General features: G+C 40.5%; 1 long non-coding RNA gene across 2 annotated transcripts in view; it reads left to right on the forward strand.

Annotated features, from left to right (window-relative positions):
- COPB2-DT (COPB2 divergent transcript) overlaps window positions 1-21,653 on the forward strand; it is a 193,517-nt gene that overhangs the window by 14,945 nt on the left and 156,919 nt on the right. For both annotated transcript variants that reach the window (NR_121609.1, NR_121608.1), the window contains exons 2-3: window positions 14,810-14,933; window positions 18,269-18,367. This is a non-coding gene — a long non-coding RNA (COPB2 divergent transcript). The remainder of the gene's footprint in view (window positions 1-14,809; window positions 14,934-18,268; window positions 18,368-21,653) is intronic.

Below are 21,653 nucleotides of genomic sequence, written 5' to 3' on the forward strand. Positions count from 1 at the left end.
AGTGCAAGGGGTCGGGGGATTCCCCTTTCCTAGCCAAAGGAAGGGTGACAGACTACCTGGAAAAACGGGACACTCCCGCCCAAATACTGTGCTTTTCCCAAGGTCTTAGCAACCAGCAGACAAGGTGATTCTCTTCCATGCCTGGCTCAGTGGCTCCCACGCCCACGGAGCCTTGCTCACTGCTAGCATAGCAGTCTGAAATTGATCTGCAAGATGGCAGCCTGGCTGGGGGAGGGGCATCTGCTATTGCTGAGGCTTGAGCAGGTAAACAAAGCAGCCAGGGAGCTCAAACTGGTTGGAGCCCACCACAGCTCAACAAAGCCTACTGCCTCTAGACTCCTCCTCTGTGGGCAGGGCATAGCTGAACAAAAGGCAGCAGACAACTTCTGCAGACTTAAACGTCCCAGTCTGACAGCTCTGAAGAGAGCAGTTGTTCTCCCAGCACGGCGTTTGAGCTCTGAGAACAGACAGACTGTCTCCTCAAGTGGGTCCCTGACCCCCGTGCAGCCTAACTGGGAGAGATCTCCCAGTACGGGCCGACAGACACCTCATATAGGTGGCTACCCCTCTGGGACGAAGCTTCCAGAGGAAGGATCAGGCAGCAATATTTTCCATTCTGCAGTATTTGCTGTTCTGCAGCCTCTGCTGGTGATACTCAGGCAAACACAGTCTGGAGTGGAACTTCAGCAAACTGCAACAGACCTGCAGCTGAGGGACCTGACTGTTAGAAGGAAAACTAACAAACAGAAAGGAATAGCATCAACATCAACAAAAAGGTCATCTACACCAAAACCCCATTTGTAGGTCACCAACATCAAAGACCAAAGGTAGGTAAAACCACAAAGATGGGGAGAAACCAAAGCAGAAAAGCTGAAAATTCTAAAAAATCGAGAACCTCTTCTCCTCCAAAGGATCGCAGCTCCTTGCCAGCAATGGAACAAAGCTGGACGGAGAATGACTTTGACGAGTTGACAGAAGTAGGCTTCAGAAGGTCGGTAATAACAAACTTCTCCGAGCTAAAGAAGGATGTTTGAACCCATCGCAAGGAAGCTAAAAACCTTGAAAAAAGATTAGATGAATGGCTAACTAGAATAAACAGTATAGAGAAGATCTTAAATGACCTGATGGAGCTGAAAACCATGGCACGAGAACTTTGTGACCCATGCACAAGCTTCAATAGCCAATTTGATCAAGTGGAAGAAAGACTGTCAGTGATTGAAGATCAAATTAATGAAATAAAGCAAGAAGAGAAGTTTAGAGAAAAAAGAGTAAAAAGAAATGAACAAAACCTCCAAGAAATATGGAACTATGTGGAAAGACCAAATCTACATTTGATTGGTGCACCGGAAAGTGATGGGGAGAATGGAACCAAGTTGGAAAACACTCTTCAGGATATTATCCAGGAGAACTTCCCCAACAGAGCAAGGTAGGCCAACATAGCAAGGTAGGCCAACATTCCAATTCAGGAAATACAGAGAACACCACAAAGATACTCCTTGAGAAGAGCAACCCCAAGACACATAATTGTCAGATTCACCAAGGTTGAAATGAAGGAAAAAGTGTTTAGGACAGCCAGAGACAAAGGTTGGGTTATCCACAAAGGGGAGCCCATCAGACTAACAGCGGATCGCTCAGCAGAAACCTTACAAGCCAGAAGAGAGTGGGGGTCAATATTCAACATTCTTAAAGAAAAGAATTTTCAACCCAGAATTTCATATCCAGCCAAACTAAGCTTCATAAGTGAAGGAGAAATAAAATACTTTACAGACAAGCAAATGCTGAGAGATTTTGTCACCACCAGGCCTGCCTTACAAGAGCTCCTGAAGGAAGCACTAAACATGGAAAGAAACAATTGGTACCAGCCACTGCAAAAACAGGCCGAATTGTAAAGACCATCGACGCTATGAAGAAACTCCATCAATTAATGGGCAAAATAACCAGTGAACATCATAATGACAGGATCAAATTCACACATAACAATATTAACTTTAAATGTAAATGGGCTAAATGCACCAATTAAAAGACACAGACTGTCAAATTGGATAAAGAGTCAAGACCCATCGGTGTGCTGTATTCAGGAGACCCATCTCATGTGCAAAGACGCACATAGGCTCAAAATAAAGGGATGGAGGAAGATCTACCAAGCAAATGGAAAGCAAAAAAAAGCAGGGTTGCAATCCTAGTCTCCAGTAAAACAGACTTTAAACCAACAAAGATGAAAAGAGACAAAGAAGGCCATTACATAATGGTAAAGGGATCAATTCAACAAGAAGAGCTAACTATCCTAAATATATATGCACCCAATACAGGAGCACCCATATTCATAAAGCAAGTCCTAGAGACCTACAAAGAGACTTCGACTCCCACACAATAATAATAATGGGAGACTTTAACACCCCACTGTCAATATTAGACAGATCAACGAGACAGAAGGTTAACAAGGATATCCAGGACCTGAACTCAGCTCTGCAACAAGCAGACCTAATAGACATCTACAGAATTCTCCACCCCAAGTCAATAGAATATACATTCTTCTCAGTACCACATCGCACTTATTCTAAAATTGACCACATAATTGGAAGTAAAGCACTCCTCAGCAAATGTAAAAGAACAGAAATCACAACAAACTATCTCTCAGATCACAGTGCAATTAAATTAGAACTCAGGACTAAGAAACTCACTCAAAACTGCACAACTGCATGGAAACTGAACAACTTGCTCCTGAATGACTACTGGGTAAATAACAAAATGAAGGCAGAAATAAAGATGTTCTTTGAAACCAATGAGAACAAAGACACAACATACCAGAATCTCTGGGACACATTTAAAGCAGTGTATAGAGGGACATTTATAGCACTAAATGCCCACAAGAGAAAGCAGGAAAGATCTAAAATTGACACCCTAACATAACAATTAAAAGAACTAGAGAAGAAAGAGCAAACAAATTCAAAAGCTAGCAGAAGGCAAGAAATAACTAAGATCAGAACAGAACTGAAAGATATAGAGATGCAAAAAAAATCCTTCAAAAAAATCAATGAATCTGGGAGCTGGTTTTTTGAAAAGATCAACAAAATTGATAGACCTCTAGCAAGACTAATAAAGAAGAAAAGAGAGAAGAATCAAATAGACGCAATAAAAAATGACAAAGGGGATATCACCACTGATCCCACAGAAATACAAACTACCATCATAGAATACTATAAACACCTCTAGTCAAATAAACTAGAAAATCCAGAAGAAATGGATAAATTCTGGGACACATACACCCTCCCAAGACTAAACCAGGAAGAAGTTGAATCTCTGAATAGACCAATAACAGGCTCTGAAATTGAGGCAATAATTAATAGCTTGCCAACCAAAAAATGTCTAGGACCAGATGGATTCACAGCCAAATTCTACCAGAGGTACAAAGAGGAGCTGGTACCATCCCTTCTGAAACTATTCCAATCAATAGAAAAAGAGGGAATCCTCCCTAACTCATTTTATGAGGCCAACATCATCCTGATACCAAAGCCTGACAGAGACACAACAAAAAAAGAGAATTTTAGACCAATATCCCTGATGAACATCAATATGAAAATCCTCAATAAAATACTGGCAAACTGAATCCAGCAGCACATCAAAAAGCTTATCCACCACAATCAAGTTGGCTTCATCCCTGGGATGCAAGGCTGGTTGAACATGTGCAAATCAATAAATGTAATCCATCACATAAACAGAACCAATGACAAGAAACCACATGATTATCTCAATAGATGCAGAAAAGGCCTTTGACAAAATTCAACAGCATTCATGCTAAAAACTCTTAATAAACTAGGTATTGATGGAACGTATCTCAAAACAATAAGAGCTATTTATGACAAACCCACAGCCAATATCATACTGAATGGGCAAAAACTGGAAGCATTCCCTTTGAAAACTGGCACAAGACATGGATGCCCTCTCTCACCACTCCTATTCAACATAGTATTGGAAGTTCTGGCTATGGCAATCAGGCAAGAGAAAGAAATAAAGAGTATTCAGTTAGGAGAAGAGGAAGTCAAATTGTCCCTGTTTGCAGATGACATGATTGCATATTTAGAAAACCCCATCATCTCAGCCCAAAATCTCCTTAAGTTGATAAGCAACTTCAGCAAAGTCTCAGGATACAAAATCAATATACAAAAATCACAAGCATTCCTATACACCATTAACAGACAAACAGAGAGCCAAATCATGAGTGAACTCCCATTCACAATTGCTATGAAGAGAATAAAATACCTAGGAATCCAACTTACAAGGGATGTGAAGGACCTCTTCAAGGAGAACTACAAACTACTGCTCAAGGAAATAAAAGAGGACACAAACAAATGGAAGAATATTCCATGCTCATGGAAAGGAAGAATCAATATTGTGAAAATGGCCATATCGCCCAAAGTAATTTATAGATTCAATGCCATCCCCATCAAGCTACCAATGTCTTTCTTCACAGAATTGGAAAAAACTACTTTAAAGTTCATATGGAACCAAAAAAGAGCCCGCATTGCAAACACAATCCTAAGCCAAAAGAACAAAGCTGGAGGCATCACGCTATCTGACTTCAAAGTATACTACAAGGCTACAGTAACCAAAACAGCATAGTACTGGTACAAAAACAGAGATATAGACCAATGGAACAGAACAGAGGCCTCAGAAATAACACCACACATCTACAACCATCTGATCTTTGACAAACCTGACAAAAACAAGAAATGGAGAAAGGATTCCCTATTTAATAAATGGTACTGGGAAAATTGGCTAGCTATATGCAGAAAGCTGAAACTGGATCCCTTCCTTACACCTTATACACAGATTAATTCAAGATGGATTAAAGACTTAAATGATAGACCTAAAACCATAAAAACCCTAGAAGAAAACCTAGGCAATACCATTCAGGACATAGGCTTGGGCAAGTACTTCATGACTAAAACACCAAAAGCAATGGCAACAAAAGCCAAAATAGGCAAATGGAATCTGATTAAACTAAACAGCTTCTGCACGCAAAAGAAAGTACCATCAGAGTGAACAGACAACCTACAGAATGGGAGAAAATTTTTACAATCTACCCATCTGACAAAGGGCTAATATCCAGAATCTGCAAAGAACTCAAACAAATTTACAAGAAGAAAACAACCCTATCAAAAAGTGGGCAAAGGATATGAACAGACACTTCTCAAAAGAAGACATCTGTGCATCTAACAGACACATGAAAAAATGCTCATCATCACTGGTCATCAGAGAAATGCAAATCAAAACCACAATGAGATACCATCTCACACCAGTTAGAATGGCAATCATTAAAAAGTCAGGAAACAACAGATGCTGGAGAGGATGTGGAGAAATAGGAACACTTTTACACTGTTGGTGGGACTGTAAACTAGTTCAACCATTGTGAAAGACAGTGTGGTGTTTCCTCAAGGATCTAGAACTAGAATTACCATTTGACTCAGCAATCCCATTACTGGGTATATACCCAAAGGATTATAAATCATGCTACTATAAAGACACATGCACACGTATGTTTATTGTGGCACTATTCACAATAGCAAAGACTTGGAACCAACCCAAATGTCCATCAATGATAGACTGGATTAAGAAAATGTGGCACATATACACCATGGAATACTATGCAGCCATAAAAAAGGATGAGTTCATGTCCTTTGCAGGGACATAGATGAAGCTGGAAACCATCATTCTCTGCAAACTATCACAAGGAGAGAAAATCAAACACTGCATGTTCTCAGTCATAGGTGGGAATTGAATAATGAGATCACTTGGACACAGGAAGGGGAACATCACACACCGGGGCCTGTCATGGGGTGGGGGGCTGGGGGAGGGATAGCATTAGGAGAAATACCTAAGGTAAATGATGAGTTGATGGCTGCAGGAAACCAGCATGGCACATGTATACCCATGTGTCAAGCCTGCGCGTTGTGCACATGTACCCTAGAACTTAAAGTTAAATTTTTAAACAAAAAGGAGAAGAAGAAGTAGTGGTGAAAGTGGGCATCCTTATCTTGTTCCAGTTCTCAGGGGGAAGATTTCAACTTTTCCCTATTCAGTATAATGTTGGCTGTGGGTTTCTCATAGATGGCTTTTATTATCTTCAGGTGTAACCCTTCTATGTCAATTTTGCTGAGGGTTTTAATCACAAGGGATGCTGGATTTTGTCAAATGCTTTTTCTGCATCTGTTGAGATGATAATAAGATTTTTGTTTTTAATTCTGTTTATGTGATGTATCACATTTATTGACTTGTGTATGTTAAGCCATCCCTGATGCTTTGGTATGAAATCCACTTGATCATGGTATATATTATTTTTTTGATATGCTGTTGGATTTGGTTGGCTAGTATCTTGTTGAGGATTTTTGCATCTGTGTTCATCTGGGATATTGGGCTGTAGTTTTCCTATTATGTCCTTTCCTGGTTTTGGAATTAGCATGATACTGGCTTCACAGAATGACTTAGGGAGAATTTCCTCTTTCTTTATCTTTTGGAATAGTTTCAGTAAGATTGGTATCAATTCTTCTTTGAATGTCTGACAAAATTCAGCTGTGAATCCATCTGGTCCTGGACTTTTTTCGTTGGCAACTTTTTTTTTTTATTACTGTTCCAATTTGTTTACTTGTTATTGGTCTGTTCAGAGTTTCTATTTCTTCCTGATTTAATCTAGGATAGCTGTATATTTCCAGGAATTTATTCATCTCTAGATTTTCTAGTTTCTGTGAGTAAAGGTGTTCATAGTAGACTTGAATAATCTTTTGTATTTCTGTGGCATCAGTTGTAATATCTCCCATTTCATTTCTAATTGAGTTTGTTTGGATCTTCTCTCTTCTTTTCTTCGTTAGTCTCACTAATGGTCTATCAATTTTGTTTATCTTTTCAAAGAACCAGCTTTTTGTTCCGTTTATCTTTTGTATTTTTTTTTTTTTTTTGTCAATTTCATTTAGTCCTGCTCTGGTCTTGGTTATTTCTTTTCTTCTGCTGGGTTTGGGTTTGGGTTGTTCTTGTTTCTCTAGTTCCTTGAGGTGTGACCTTGGAGTGTCTATGTGCGCTCTTTCAGACTTTTTGATGTAGGCATTTAATGCTGTGAACTTTCCTGTTAACACTGCTTTTACTGTATTCCAGAGGTTTTGATAACTTATGTGACTACTTATCATTCAGCTCAAATAACTTATTAATTTCCATCTTGATTTCATTGTTGAACCAAAGATTATTCAAGAGCAGATTTTATTTAATTTATTTCCATGTATTTGTATAGTTTTGAGGGTTGCTTTTGAAGTTAATTTCCAATTTTATTACACTGTAGTCTGAGAGAATACTTGATATAATTTTGATTTTCTTAAATTTATTGAGACTTGTTTTGTGATCTATCTATCTTGGAGAATGTTCTGTGTGCTGAGGAAAAGAATGCATATTCTGCAGTTATTAGGTAGAATGTTCTGTAAATATCTTTTAAGTCCATTTGTTCTAGGGTATAGATTAAGTCCATTGTTTCTATGTTGGCTTTCTGTCTTGATGACCTGTCTAGTGCTGTCAGTGGATTATTGAAGTCCTCCACTGTTATTGTGTTGCCATCTATCTCATTTCTTAGGTCTAGTAGTAATTGTTTCATAAATTTGGGAGCTCCAGTGTTGGGTGCTTATGTATTTGGGATTGTGATATTTTCCTATTGGACTAGTCCTTTTATCATTATATAATGTTCTTCTTTGTCTCTTTTATAACCGTTGTTGCTTTAAAGTCTCTTGTCTCTGATATAGGAATAGTTACTCCTGCTTGCTTTTAGTTTCCATTTGTGTGGAATATCTTTTCCCACCCCTTTACCTTAAGTTTATATGAGTCCTTATGAGTTAGGTGAGTCTCTTGAAGGCAGCGGATACTTAGTGAATTTTTATCCATTCTACCATTCTGCCATTCTGCATCTATTAAGTGAAGCATTTAGGCCACTTACATTCAATATTAGTATTGAGATGTGAGGTACTGTTCTATTCATCATGTTAGTTGTTGCCTTAAAAAACCCTGGTTTTTTACCTATTATTGTTTTATAGGTCCTGTGAGAGTTATACTTTAAGGAGGTTCTATTTTGGTGTATTTCAACGTTTTGTTTTAAGATTTTGAACTCCTTTTAGCATTTCTTATAGTGCTGGCTTAGTAGTGGTGAATTCTCTCAGCCTTTGTCTGAAAAAGACTTTATCTCTCCTTCATTTATGAAGCTTAGTTTTGCTGGATTCAAAACTCTTGGCTGACAATTATTTTGTTTCAGGAGGCTAAAACTGGGACTTCAATCCCTTCTGGCTTGTAAGGTTTCTGCTGAGAAGTCTGCTGTTAATCTTACTGGTTTTCCTCTATAGGTTATCTGATGCTTTTGTCTCACATCTCTTAAGATTCTTTCCTTCATCTTGACTTTAGATAACCTGATGGCTATGTGCCTAGGTGATGATCTTTTTCTGATGAATTTCCCAGGTGTTCTTTCAGCTTATTGTATTTGAATTTCTATATCTCTAGCAAGGCCAGGGAATTTTCCCTCAATTATTCCCTCCAATAAGTTTTCCAAACTTTTAGATTTCTCTTTTTCCTCAGGAATGCTGATCACTTTTAGGTTTGGCTGTTTAATGTAATCCCAAATTTCCTGGAAACTTCGTTCATTTTTTAAAATTCTTCTTTCTGTGTCTTTGTCTGATTGGGTTAATTCAAAATCCTGGTCTTCCAGCTCTAAAGTTCTTTCTTCTACTTGTTCTACTCTACTGTTGACACTTTCCAGTGCATTTTGTATTTCCCTAAGTGTGTCTTTCATTTCCAGAAGTTGTGAATGTTTTTTCTTTATGATATCTATTTATCTGGAGAAGTTTTCATCCATACCCTGTATTTGTTAAAAATCTCTTTAAGTTGGCTTTCACTTTTCTGTGCTATCTCCTTGAGTAGCTTAATAATCAACCTTCTGAATTCTTTATCTGGTAATTCAGAGATTTCTTTTTGGTTTGGATCCATTGCTGGGGAACTAGTGTGACCTTTTGGGGAAGTCATAGAACTCTATTTTGTCATATTACCAGAATTACTTTTCTGGTTCCTTCTCATTTGGGTAGACTATTTCAGTGGAGAGGTTTGAAACTCAAGGCCTGCTGTTCAGATTCTCTTGTCCCACAGAGTGATCGCTTGATGTGGTGATTTTCCTATTCCCCTAGGGATGGGGCTTCCTGAGATCTGGACTGCAGTTATTGTTACCGCTCTTCTGGGTCTAGCCACCCAGTAGGGTTACCTGGCTCTGGGCTGGTGCTGGGGGATGTCTGCAAAGAGTCCTGTTATGTGATTGATCTGTCTTCAGGTCTTCCAGCTGTGGATACAAGTACCTGCTCTGGTAGAGGTGGCAGAAAACTGAAGGGGACTCTGTGGTTGTAGATATGTTTAGTGTGCTGGATTTTTTGAATGCTGGTTATGCTAGCGGTGAAGTTGTCATGTGGACACACTCAGGACCTCTGGTTAGCCAGGATGTTGCAGGCAGTGGAATTAGGTGTTGTATTCTCCTTCCTGGATTCATAGTTATTCTGTCATGAGTTGCTGTAATGGCCTGAATTGGTTGGCCTCCAGCCAGGAGGTGGTACTTTCAAGAGAGTGCCAGCTGTGGTAGCAGTAGGGTTCCCTAAGCTTGCTCTAAGATGGCCAGGGTAAGTATTTGGTTTTTCAGGTGGTGGGCGGGGCCCTAAAGTTCCCAGGAGTTTCTATATTTTGTGTTTGGCTACCAGGGTAGGTGGGGAAATACCCTTAGGTGGGGGCAGAATTAGGTGAGTCTGGGCTCAGACTCTTCTTGGGTGGGGCTTGTTGTGTCCCCTGTAGGGGATGTGGGGGTGTTTCTCAGGCTAATGGGGTTATGTTCCAGAGGGGCTCTTGGTCACCTCTGCTGTGTCATATAGTTTGCCAGGGAAGTGGGGGATGGCTGGTAACAAAAGGCCTCCCTCATCTCCCATGCAGTTGGCAGAGCTAGTGTTGCTCCCATGGTGCCTCACTCAGACCTTGCCCCAGGCTGTGAACTACCCCACAGAGAAAGAAGGCATAGCCTTTGGACCTTGCCCCTCCCCATCTGCTCACCCTGTTGCCAACTCCTGTGTTCCTACACTCATACCTGCAGCAGCTCCCACTCATCCCCCAGACTCCACTTGAGAAAATTTGTGCCCATTTGAAACCACTACCAGTTTCAGATGGGAGTTTCCTTTGCACTGTGACCTCTCGTTAATACCACTGGCTGCCTTCCCTAAGGGCCCATGTGAGTTATACTCGGGGAAGGCTTCCCTGGGCTCAAGCTAGTGGGAGTGCCTTCAAGGCACTTCCTACTGCTACTTCTATTTTTATGTTTCATGTGACTCCCTAAATCAATTTCATTTCTAGGTAAGGTTAAATCATTCTCCTGAGATCTGTATTTTCAGATTCCCCAGTGGGGATGTGTGTTTGGAGGCAGGTTTGCCCCCCTCACACTTTGAAAACTCACAGTTTTTCACCTGTTTCATGGAATTTGCAGTGGTGTCACAGTTCTTTCAAAGGATGTATGAATTCTTTTGGTTTTCCTGGTATGTTTCTGCAGTGATTCTTGGAGCAAAAGATTACAGTGTGAGTCTCCACATACTGTTCTGTCTGTCTATGTGGGAATTGCACATTAGCCCTGTTTCCTATCTACCATCTCCCCCACATCTCCCAAAGGCTAGTAATTTTTGCACATTGATTTTGTAACCTGAAACTGCTGAAATTATTATTATTTCTTTTCTTCTACTAATTTTGGGTCTGGTTTGTTCTTGCTTTTCTAGTTTTTTAAGATGCATCATTAGATTGTTTATTTGATGTTTTTCCTCTTTTTTGGTATAGACACTTATAAACTTCCATCTTAGGACTCCTTTTTCTGTATTCCATAGGTTTTGATATGTTGTGTTTCCATTATAATTTATTTCAACACATTTTTCAATTTCCTTAATTCCTTCATTGACCCACTGGTTATTCAGGAGCATACTATTTAATTACCATATATTTGTATAGTTTCATAAATTCCTCTAGCTATTGATTTCTAGGTTTATTCTATTGTGGTCAGAGAAGATGCTTGATATTGTTTCATTTGTTTCTTGAATGTTTTAAGACTTGTTTTGTGACCAAACATACGGTATATCCTTGAGAATGATCCATGTGCTGAGAAAAAGAGTGTGCATTCTGCAGCTCTTGGATCTAATTTTCTGTAAATATCTATTAGATCCATGTGGTGTATAGTGCATATTAAGACTGAAGTTTCTTTATTGCTTTTCTGCCTGGAAGTTTGTCCAGTGCTGAAAGTGGGATGTTCATGTCTCCACATTATTATTGTATTGGGTCCTATATCTCTCTTTAGCTCTAATAATATTTGCTTTATATATCTGGATGCTACAGTGTTGGGTACATGTATATTGTTATATTCTTTTGCTGAATTGGCCTCTTTATCATTATACAGTGATCTTCTTTGTCTCTTCTTACACTTTTTGTCTTGAAATCTATTTTGTGTGATATAAATATAGCTACTGCTCCATTTACTTCTGCTCCTCTGTTCTTTGGTTTTCATTAGCATGGCATATCTTTTTCCATCCTTTCATTTTCAGTATATGTATATATTTATAGATGAATTGTGTTTCTTGTAGGCAACAGATAAGTGGTTCTTGTTTTTTCATCCACTCGGCCACTTTATGTCTTTTGATTGGAGAGTATAGTCCATTTACATTTATTATTGATGAGTAAGGACTTACTCTTGCCATTTTGTAATTTGTTTTCCAGTTGTTTTGTGGTATTCCTTTTTTTCCTTGTCTTCCTTTAGTGATTTTCTCTGGTAATATAATTTACTTCCTTGCTTTTTAATTTTTGTGTATTTGGTGTATGTTTCTTGGTTTGAGGTTACAATGAGACTTGCAACTACTATCTTATAACCCATTATTTTGAGCTGATACCAACTTAACACTATTTGTCATAAACAAACAAGCACAAAAAACTAATAAAAATTATATGCCTTAACTTTATCCCTCCACTTTTTAACATTTTGTTGTTCCTATTTATATCTTATTGTACTGTCATTGTCTTGAAAAGTTGTTGTAGTTGTTATTTTTGATTGGTTCATCATTTAGTCTTTCTACTTAGGATAAGAGTAGTTTATACAACCCAGTTACAGTCTTATAATATTCTGTGTTTTTCTATGTACTTACTATTACCAGTGAGTTTTGTACCTTCAGGTAATTAGTTATTGCTCATTAACATCCTCTTCTTTCTGAAGTACTCCCTTTAGCATTTCTTATAGGACAGATCTGGTGTTGATGAAATCCTTCAGCTTTTTTTGTCTGAGAAAGTCTTCATTTCTCCTTCATGTCTGAAAAGTTTTTCATAAGATATATTATTCTAGGGCAAAAGTTATTTTCCTTCAGCCCTTTAAATATGTCATGCCACTGTCTCCTGGCCTGTAAGGTTTCCACTGAGAAGTCTGCAGCCAGATGTATGGGAGCTCCATTGTATGATATTTGTTTCTTTTCTCTTGCTGCTTTTAAGATCCTTTCTTTATCCTTGATCCTTGGGAGTTTGATTATTAAACAACTTGAGGTAGTCTTCTTTGGGTTAAATCTGCTTGATATTCTACAGCCTTCTTGTACTTGGATATTTAATATCTTTCTCTAGGTTTGGGAAGTTTTCTGTTGTTATCCCTTTGAATAAACTTTCTACCCCTATCTCTTTCTCTACCTTCTCTTTAAGACAAATAACTCTTAGATTTGCCCTTTCGAGGCTATTTATTAGGTTCTGTAGGCATGTTTCATTGTTTTTTATTCTTTTTTTGGTCTCCTCTGATGGTGTATTTTCAAATAATTTGTCTTTAAGTTCACTAATTTTTTTCTTCTGCTTGATTCATTCTGCTATTAAAGGACTCTAATGCATTGTTCAGTGTGCCAACTGCATTTTTTTGCTCCAGAATTTCTGCTTGATTCTTTTTATTTCAATCTCTTTGTGAAATCTAGCTGATAGAATTCTGAATTCCATCTCTGTGTTATCTTGAATTTGAGTTTCCTCAACACAGCTATTTTGAATTTTCTGTCTTAAAGGTAACATATTTATGTTTCTCCAGGATTGCTCCCTGGTGCCTTATTTAGTTCATTTGGTGAGGTCATGTTTTCCTGGATTATCTTTATACGTGTAGATGTCTAGGCATTGAGGAGTTAGGTATTTATTATAGTTTTAACTGTCTGGGCTTCTTTGTACCTGTACTTGTTGAGAAGATTTTTCAGATATTTGAAAGGACTTGGGTGTTGAGATCTAAGCTGTATCTGCTTTAGGGGGCACCCCATGCTTAGTAATTCTATAGTTCTTGAAGACTCATAGAGGTACCACCTTGATGGTCTTGGACAAGATCTGGAAGAATTATCTGTATTACCAGGCAGAGATTCTTGTTCTCTTGCCTTACTTTTTCCCAAGCAAACCGTGTCTCTCTCTTTCAGTTCTGAGCCACCTAAATCTGGGTGTGGAGTGACACATGCACACCTGCAGCCACCACCACTATGACTCGCTGGGTCAGACCTGAAGCCAGCACAGTAGTGGGTCTCACCCAAGGCCTGCTGAACCACTCCCTGGCTATTGCCTATGTTTGCTCAAGGCCTTGTGGCTTTACAATCACAGGTAGCAAAGCCAGCCAGGCTTGTGTCCAGGTTGGTGAATCCCCCCAGGCCCCAGATGGGTCTAGAGGTGCCATCTGGGGTCAGAGACTAGAGTCAAAATCCTTAGAAGTCTACCTGGTATTCTATTGTATTGTGGCTGAGCTGGCCATCAAGCCACAGGATGGCAGTCCTTCCCATTCTTCCCTCCTCTTTACAAAGGCAGAAAAGCTTCATCCTCTAGCTACCACCATTACAGGCCATGGGGAGTTCTACCAGACTGCCACTGATGTTCCCTTAAGACCCAAGGGCTCTTCAGTCAGCTTGTGGTGAATGCTGTCTTTCCTGGGACCCACCCTTCAGAGCAATGGGCTCCCTTCTGGCCCAGGGTGGGTCCAGAATGCCATCCAAGAGTCAAGTCTTTGAATCGGGGACCCCAAGAGCCCCCCTGGTGCTCTACTCCCCTGTGGTCAAGCTGGTACCTGAAGCCAGCAAGTTTCAGAGGCTCACCCAAGGCCTTCAACATAGTACCTGGGCATCACTGCTGGTTATTCAGGACCCAAAGGCTCTTCAGTTAGCATGTGATCAATGCTGCCAGGACTGGGTTCTTCCCTTCAAGGCAGCAGATTCCTTTCTGCCCCAGGGTGTTTCTGGAAATGTCATTTAGGAGCTAGGGCTTGGAACAGGGGCCTCATGACTCTGACCAGTGCCCTATTCTGCTGTGGGATCAAAGATACAAGACACAGTCCCCTCCACTCTTCTCTCTCCTCTCCTCAAGTGAAAGGAAGGGCTCTCTTTTGGAGCCATGAGTTGTGCAGCCGGGGTTAGGGGAGGGGTGATGCCAGCACTTTCTTAGCTATCCCTGCTGGTGTCTCAGTAGTCACATGCCCCCAAGTCCACCCAGTTCAGCACTACCACTCACCTAAGAGTTCAGTCCTTATGGCCTAGACAGCCTTTCAAATTTACTTAGAGACCCAGAGCCCTTTAGCCCATCATGGCAATTGACCTCTGGGGATTAGTGATTCCCCTCTGGCTAGGGCTGGTCCAAATGCTTCCTCTGTGGGTGGATATAAGCTGAGTTTGGTTTGGTTTTTCTTTCTGGTCTAACAGACAGCCTTGAGTTCATCAATGCCTCACACTTGCTATGCTCTCCCTCTCCCCAGCACCCAGAAATACTCTCCACACCATGCTGCACTGCTGCGGATGAGGGAAGGATGGTGTCGGGGCTTCAAGACTGTTTTTCCTACCTCTTCAGTGCCTCTTTCAGTGATATGAAGTTAAAACCAGGTACTATGAGTGCTCACCTGATTTGTGGTTCTTATGGAGGTGCTTTGCTCGTGTATATAGTTGTTAACTTGGATTCCTTGCAAGTGGGACAATAGGTGGAGCCTTGTATTCTGCCATCTTGCTTCCCATTTTATGATGAGAAATATGGTGGTTACAAAGGTTAAATAACTTGCCCAAGGTCACAATATCTGGTAGAGCCGGGCCTTAAACCCAGATGGGTGTTGTAAAGTTACAGCTCTACCTCCTATAAGGATAATGTTAAGCTAAGTAGGCTCCTAAAATACTCATTAAATAAACATTCTGCAAAAGTTAGTTCTCTTCTCTTCTTTCTATGTTGTGTCTCCTATAACACTTTGGTCAGAAGTAAATGTCTAAAAAAAAGAGTCAAGAAAAAGTGGACTAGAAGATGGGGTGAAGGTGTAATGGGCAGGGAACTGGTACAAATCACTGGAGCCCGGAAGTCTGGAAAAGGACCCAGTGCAACTCCCATGTAAAGATTTTTAGCCTGTCTTCTACTGCTGAGGTCTTGAAAATAAGGTCTTCACAGGACCCAAACCTACTCATGGTAACCCTGTCTATAAATATTGATTGATTTCCAGAAAACACTAATTTTTTTTAGAATGTATCTATGTATGTGTGTGTGTGTATATATATGTATATGGAATATAATAAATAATATCATATATAGTATTATATATTTATAAATTTGGATATCATATAGGAGTGGCCCTTTATTTTTTTAAACTCATTTACAGTGGATTTGTTGTTCTGGCTGCCCAGTATACCCTTCCTGTATTGAGAATTCCCCATACCCTGGCACCTTGTGCTTAAGTGTGGTCATGTGGTCTCAGTACAACCTTATAGGTTGTTGTAGTAGCACCTTATAGGTGTTCCTGCCAGAACTGAATCTTGAGAGGCTGGTCAGCTGGTGGTAATTTGCAGCAGAGTGGTAGCATAGAGAGCATGTCCAGGGCAGTGAAATGCAACAGCACCAGTGGAGAAGATTTAGAGGCAGCGATACCCATAGTGCTTGTAGCGCCCATGATGCTGTGCTGAGCAAACAGATCCTGTGGTAGGATCATGGCTCTGCCTTGTTCCCCAGCTAATATACTTTTGATACATACCTTTTAGGCTTAAGTTTTCCAGAGTTGGTGTCTGTTTTTTTTAATGCCCCAAATATCACATTGATTTTAGCAATTGTCAAAGCAAGGTTGGGATATCAAATAGCTATTCCAAATTGGACCTGGGTTTGGATATCATTTATGGAAATAATGCTCTTTGCTCTCTAGATATATGGGCAGGAAGAAAACAGTCAGAATCAATAATCAAACCAGTTCTGACTGCTGGCTCTGTATGGCTGTTGGTTTCTTGGTTTATTTCTTATTTTATCTAAAGCCAGGTCACACTATCCAGGTGGAATGTTCATAAAAACCAAAGTGTGAACATTTTCTTTAAGGTCAATGTAATTTACAGTCTGTCCAGAGAAGCTTTTAGAGATGTAGAATGTGACTGTAATCCACAATGCACTCTCATTACCCTTCCCTCCTATTAGAAATTGATTTTGGCACAGTTCCTTCAGGTGGAAAGTGACTCTGTCAGCAATTGCTGTTTCTCTTTTCACACGTTGGATTTCCCCCCCAACAAAAGTATTAAAGTCTCTTTAGTGTTCCTTTAGGAGAGATTAAATACAGTTATCACCAACATTTGGAGTTTCATATCTGCCTGCTATTTCTACTGTGCTTTGCTTTGTAGGCAATTAGCAATCATGTGGAGTGGAAGATCTTTTCCTAAAATTACCTGAGCTTGGCTACTCTGTGTGCTGGTTAACCCTGAAGGAAAATGCTGCCAGCAAGGCATTTAGCCCTGGCTGTGGCTGACAGCATGTGTCTTCCTCTCTCCCTACCCCTGTGGATCTCCTTGTCACTTTAAGAACAGCTAACACTAACAGGGCCACCAAACTATTTATGACACCTTGCAGCTTGACACTCAACAGGTCCAGAGAACATGGCCTTCTTCAATAGATAAGTTGCAGCTGACAAAGACGGTAGTCAGCTTATCTTTGTATGTGGCCAGTGGAGTTCCTGTAACCTTAGGGTATTGGGTAGTGCCTCTTAATAGTGCCCATGGTGCTCACTTTTTTTTTTTTTTTTTAAACAGAGTTTCTCTCTTCTTGCTCAGGCTGGAGTGCACTGGCACAATCTTGGCTCACTGCAACCTCCGCCTCCCAGGTTCAAGCGATTCTCTCACCTCAGCTTCCCGAGTAGCTGGGATTACAGGCGCCTGCCACCACACCCAGCTAATTTTTGCATTTTTAGTAGAGATGAGGTTTCACCATGTTGGTCAGGTTGGTCTCGAACTCCTGACCTCAGGTGATCTGCCCGCCTCGGCCTCCCAAAGTGCTGGGATTATAGGTGTTAGCCACTGCGCCCGGCCAGTGCTCACTTCTTAATACAATGCTTTTTAACCTGTTTAAATTCATGCCCCTTTGGTTAAATGTGAAAATTCTGCCCCATATATTAAACACTACATCTTTCACAGGTTTCCAGACATCAAGTAGATATTAAGTTTAATTTTCTTTATACATATTATCCATTTTTAAAGTTTCCAAATATGAAAGCATATTGACTATGCTTTTGAAAAGTGCAGTAGGCTTTCCAGAGATTTGGGTCAACCTGACTAGGAAGGAGGCTCCTTATTAATAGTTACAGATTATGGCAAAACTGAAGAGGGGTGGATCCAACAGCCATTCTGAACCTTCTCCTCATTGCCATCCGCTTGAAACATTCACTAGCTCTTCCATATTTGCTTGCAGCGAGGGATGGCCATGTGACATCGTTGTTGTAGTAGTGAGATGCAAGTAGAAGTCTGCTGGTGAGGGGTTCTGGAAAACCTTTGCTTACCTAATAAAAAGGATAGACTTAGCTGGTTTCATCTCTTCATGCCTTCTTGACATACAGAAGTTTGCCACCTTCAGCAACCTCAGTCTTTCAGTGTAAAATGATAATAACACCTAACTCATATTGCTGCAAAGGATATAAAGATAATATATTTGAGATGAGGGTATCTTTTAAAACTATTAACCTAATTTTTTGGCACCTGATATTTCCACATACCGTTTGTGCTCTTACTCCCCTCCCCCTCTCCTTTTATTTATGGTGCTATTCTATAATTAGTACCGCAGGGACAAGATATATTGGTGAAAACAGATACACAAGGTGTCCCTTCTAGTCTAGTGGGGGTAGGGAAAGAAAGGACTCAGGACATAGACTCGAGAACTCCTAATGATTCAAGATGTTTTCAAATTTGTAAAATCAGTTTTTTACTTTCACTTCCAGGAACATGGAGGAGACATATTTCCACCTATTTCTCTCCATAAGTATAAAAGACCATAAAAGACCATCTAGGGACTTCAGAACCCAAATAATGACACAATGGTGAGTTCCCTGGGTTTTCTTTTTTGCACTGTATTTCCCAGACTTGGAGCTGAAGAAGTCAGCAACATAGAAACACCAATGGACACAAACAAACGTAGCCCAAATAAAAGCCTGTTCTCATTAACCAGTGGACCAGGAAAAGGCAGCCTAGCAAGGCAGAAAACTTTTAGACGATAACTGTAATAATTTCTGTACTCCAGCCAAGCACCAAAGGAAAAAAATGCTGCTCCACCCCACTTATGCCAACAAAGACCAAGTTATGAGCTTAAATGTCCACCCTCACCTAGCTGTGATGAACTGTCCCAACTCCCCTACTGGGGTGGTGCCAGAGAAGGCCAAGTAGAGAGTTGGGACTTTAATCTCCACTGGGTGATAACGAGACCCACCCTTCCACAGTGTCAGTGGAGACCATGTGGGAAGCCTGGACTTCTTCCCTAAACTATCAGTAATGAGGTGCTCCTCCATCATCCCAGTGGACTAGTATAGAGAAGGCCTAGCAGTAAGAAAGCCACCCTCTCAGCCACCTGCATGGCGTCAGCAGGGGCCATGTGGGGAATAGTAATAAGGTACTCCTACTCCTCCCAGCTAGGGAAGTCTCAGTAGAGAGGCCTTGTGGGAAGCTGGAACTTCTAATCCCACCTAGCAGTAGCAAAGAATCCCTTATCCTGTCAAGTGCCCATGGAGGATGAGCGGGGAACCTACTCCTGGCAAAAATGAGATGCCCTTCCACCCCTTACCACCTTGCTGGAGCAGTGTGTCAGAAGAAGTCAGCTAAAACAGAAGGTTCAGATAAGATAAAGATCATTTCAATAGAAACGATCAGGTTTCTGTTGAAAATCACTTGTCACATCAAGAACCAGGAAGATTTAAAATTGAATGAAAAAGACAGTCAATAGATGTCAATACCATGATGCCAGAAATTTTAGAATTATATGACAAAGATTTTATAACAGCCATCATAAGTGTTTCAATGAGCCATTAATGAACATACTTGAAACAAAAGTTAAAAGTCTTAGAAAAGTAAAAAGAAAGTATCAGCAAAGAAATAAAAGATATAAAGAAGAACCAAATGGAAATTTTAGAACTGAAAAATACAATAATGACACAATATGTGCTTTCCCGCTATGATCAGGAACGAGACAAGGATCTCCACTCTCATCACTCTTATTCAACACAGTGATAGGCGTTTTAACCCAAGCAAAAAAGCAATAAAAGGAAATAGAAAGCATACATATTAGAGAGGAGAAATAAAGCTGTCCCTGTTTGCAAATGACATGGTAGTCTATACAGCAAATCCCAAGTAATCTACATAAAAACTAATAAGTGAGTTTAGCAAACTTGTAGGATACAAGATGAACATACGAAAATGAATTTATTGCTATGTACTAGCAATGAACATGTGGCTACTGAAAAATTGCAAAATAGTACAGAGTTTTTATATATTTTTCACCTATACTATCACAATTGTTAACATCTTGTGTAAACATAGAACAATGATCAGAACTGGGAAATTAACATTGGCACAATACCATTAACCAAGGCTGGAGTGCAGTCGCGTGATCTTGGCTCACTGCAACCTCCGCCTCCAGGTTCAAGTGATTCTCCTGTCTCAGCTTCCCGAGTAGTCGGGGCTATAGGCATGTGCTATCATGCCTGGCTAAATTTTGTGTATTTAGTAGAGATGGGGTTTTGCCATGTTGGCCAGGCTGGTCTCAAACTCCTGACCTCAGGTGATCCGCCCCCCTCGGTCTCCCAAAGTGTTGGGATTACAGGCATGAGCTACCGTAGCGCCTGGCCTCCACTAATGTATTTTTTTTTTTTTTTTGGTTTTTGTTGTTCCAGGATACTATTCAACATACCACATTGTATTTGATTGTCATTTCTCCCTGTTCTCTGACAGTCTCCAATTGTTCCTGGGTCTTTCTTTGTCTTTTGTATGATCTTGACACCTCCAGAGATCAGTTATTTTATTGTATGTTCCTTATTATGAACCTGCCTAGGGCATTCTCCTGATTGGACTGAACTCTTGCACGAAGAAGCTTTCTGAAAGCTTCCAACTTCTGAAATTCAGAAAGAATTCCTAGAGAAAGGAGGGGTGGGGAAGGAAAGTCAAGCTACTGCTGGTCCTGAAGAGGAGTCTTCTCCTTTTGAGTTTTTAGATATATCCCTGGGGAAAAGACCACAGAAGCACCAAATAGATTTGTGGAGCCCAAGAGCTAAAGGCCCATGTGCCTTTTTCCTGCATAAAGGCCCAGGAGGGCTAGAATTACCCAGAGAGGGATGGAAGTGGCTGTGAGGGGTGTATGAGGGAGTAGAGAAGGCACCATATGTGGCACGGCAGGGCATGGCAGAGTAATTTTTTGTGTGCCAGGGACTGGGCACAGAAGCCACTAAGAAAGCTTGAGAGCTGGGAACAAGGAACATCTCCACAGTGAACTCCCTAACAGATAGCTCAGGGGATCTCTCAGCTAGTGTGGACAGGAAACATCAAGGACATTACATAAGCTCCCCCTCATTCCGCCCCAGAATCTAGATGTAATCAAGAGGACAGAGAGATGCTCCAAATTTGCTTCCCACCTACCAGAATAGGGACTCTGCTCTGTATTAACCTATAAATAAAGTATGTTGCTTGTGCTCTTGAGCTATCATCTGGGATTCATACCTCCTAATAAATGCCACTGAATATTATGAATAAAGGTATATGTGCACAGGAGTGTGTGCATGAGTATGAGTGTGTATGTTTGTTCCAAGCAGAGATAGCAGCATTTTCCAAGGTCTGGAGATAAAATGAGAATGTGCATGTGGAGAACTACAAACCATTCATGGGAAAGTACACAAATGGGCTGTTTTTTCAGGTCGGGTTCCCAATGATACCGTCTTTTTTCTATTACACAGTGACGTGTGTAAGGCACCAAATCATGATGCTAGGAAAAACATCTTGATATGTAATGCCATACCCACCATCTAGGTAATGGTACTGCATATCTTTGGTCCTTCCGCATGTGCCAGAGGGTGTGCTGCCATTAACCATGAAAGGAACCCTTCAGCATGTTTATGAGTGTGGATGAGAGGTATTGCCCCTTTTTCCTCCAGATGGTGAGCAGGTTGAAATGACAGCTCAGCCACTCCACCACTAATAAAACTTCCTGACACTCTGTAGTCCTTTATGGACTATGACTCAGTTCAAATTGCTAGACTTACGGAATGTAGAATTTTAGGCCAAAGAGGTTCTGAGTGGGGCCAATTGCCTAAAGGTACAGATGGTGAGACTGAGGTGTAAAGAGGC

The sequence above is a fragment of the Homo sapiens genome, chromosome 3 (assembly GCF_000001405.40).
Source record: "Homo sapiens chromosome 3, GRCh38.p14 Primary Assembly".
Taxonomy (NCBI): Eukaryota; Metazoa; Chordata; class Mammalia; order Primates; family Hominidae; genus Homo; species Homo sapiens.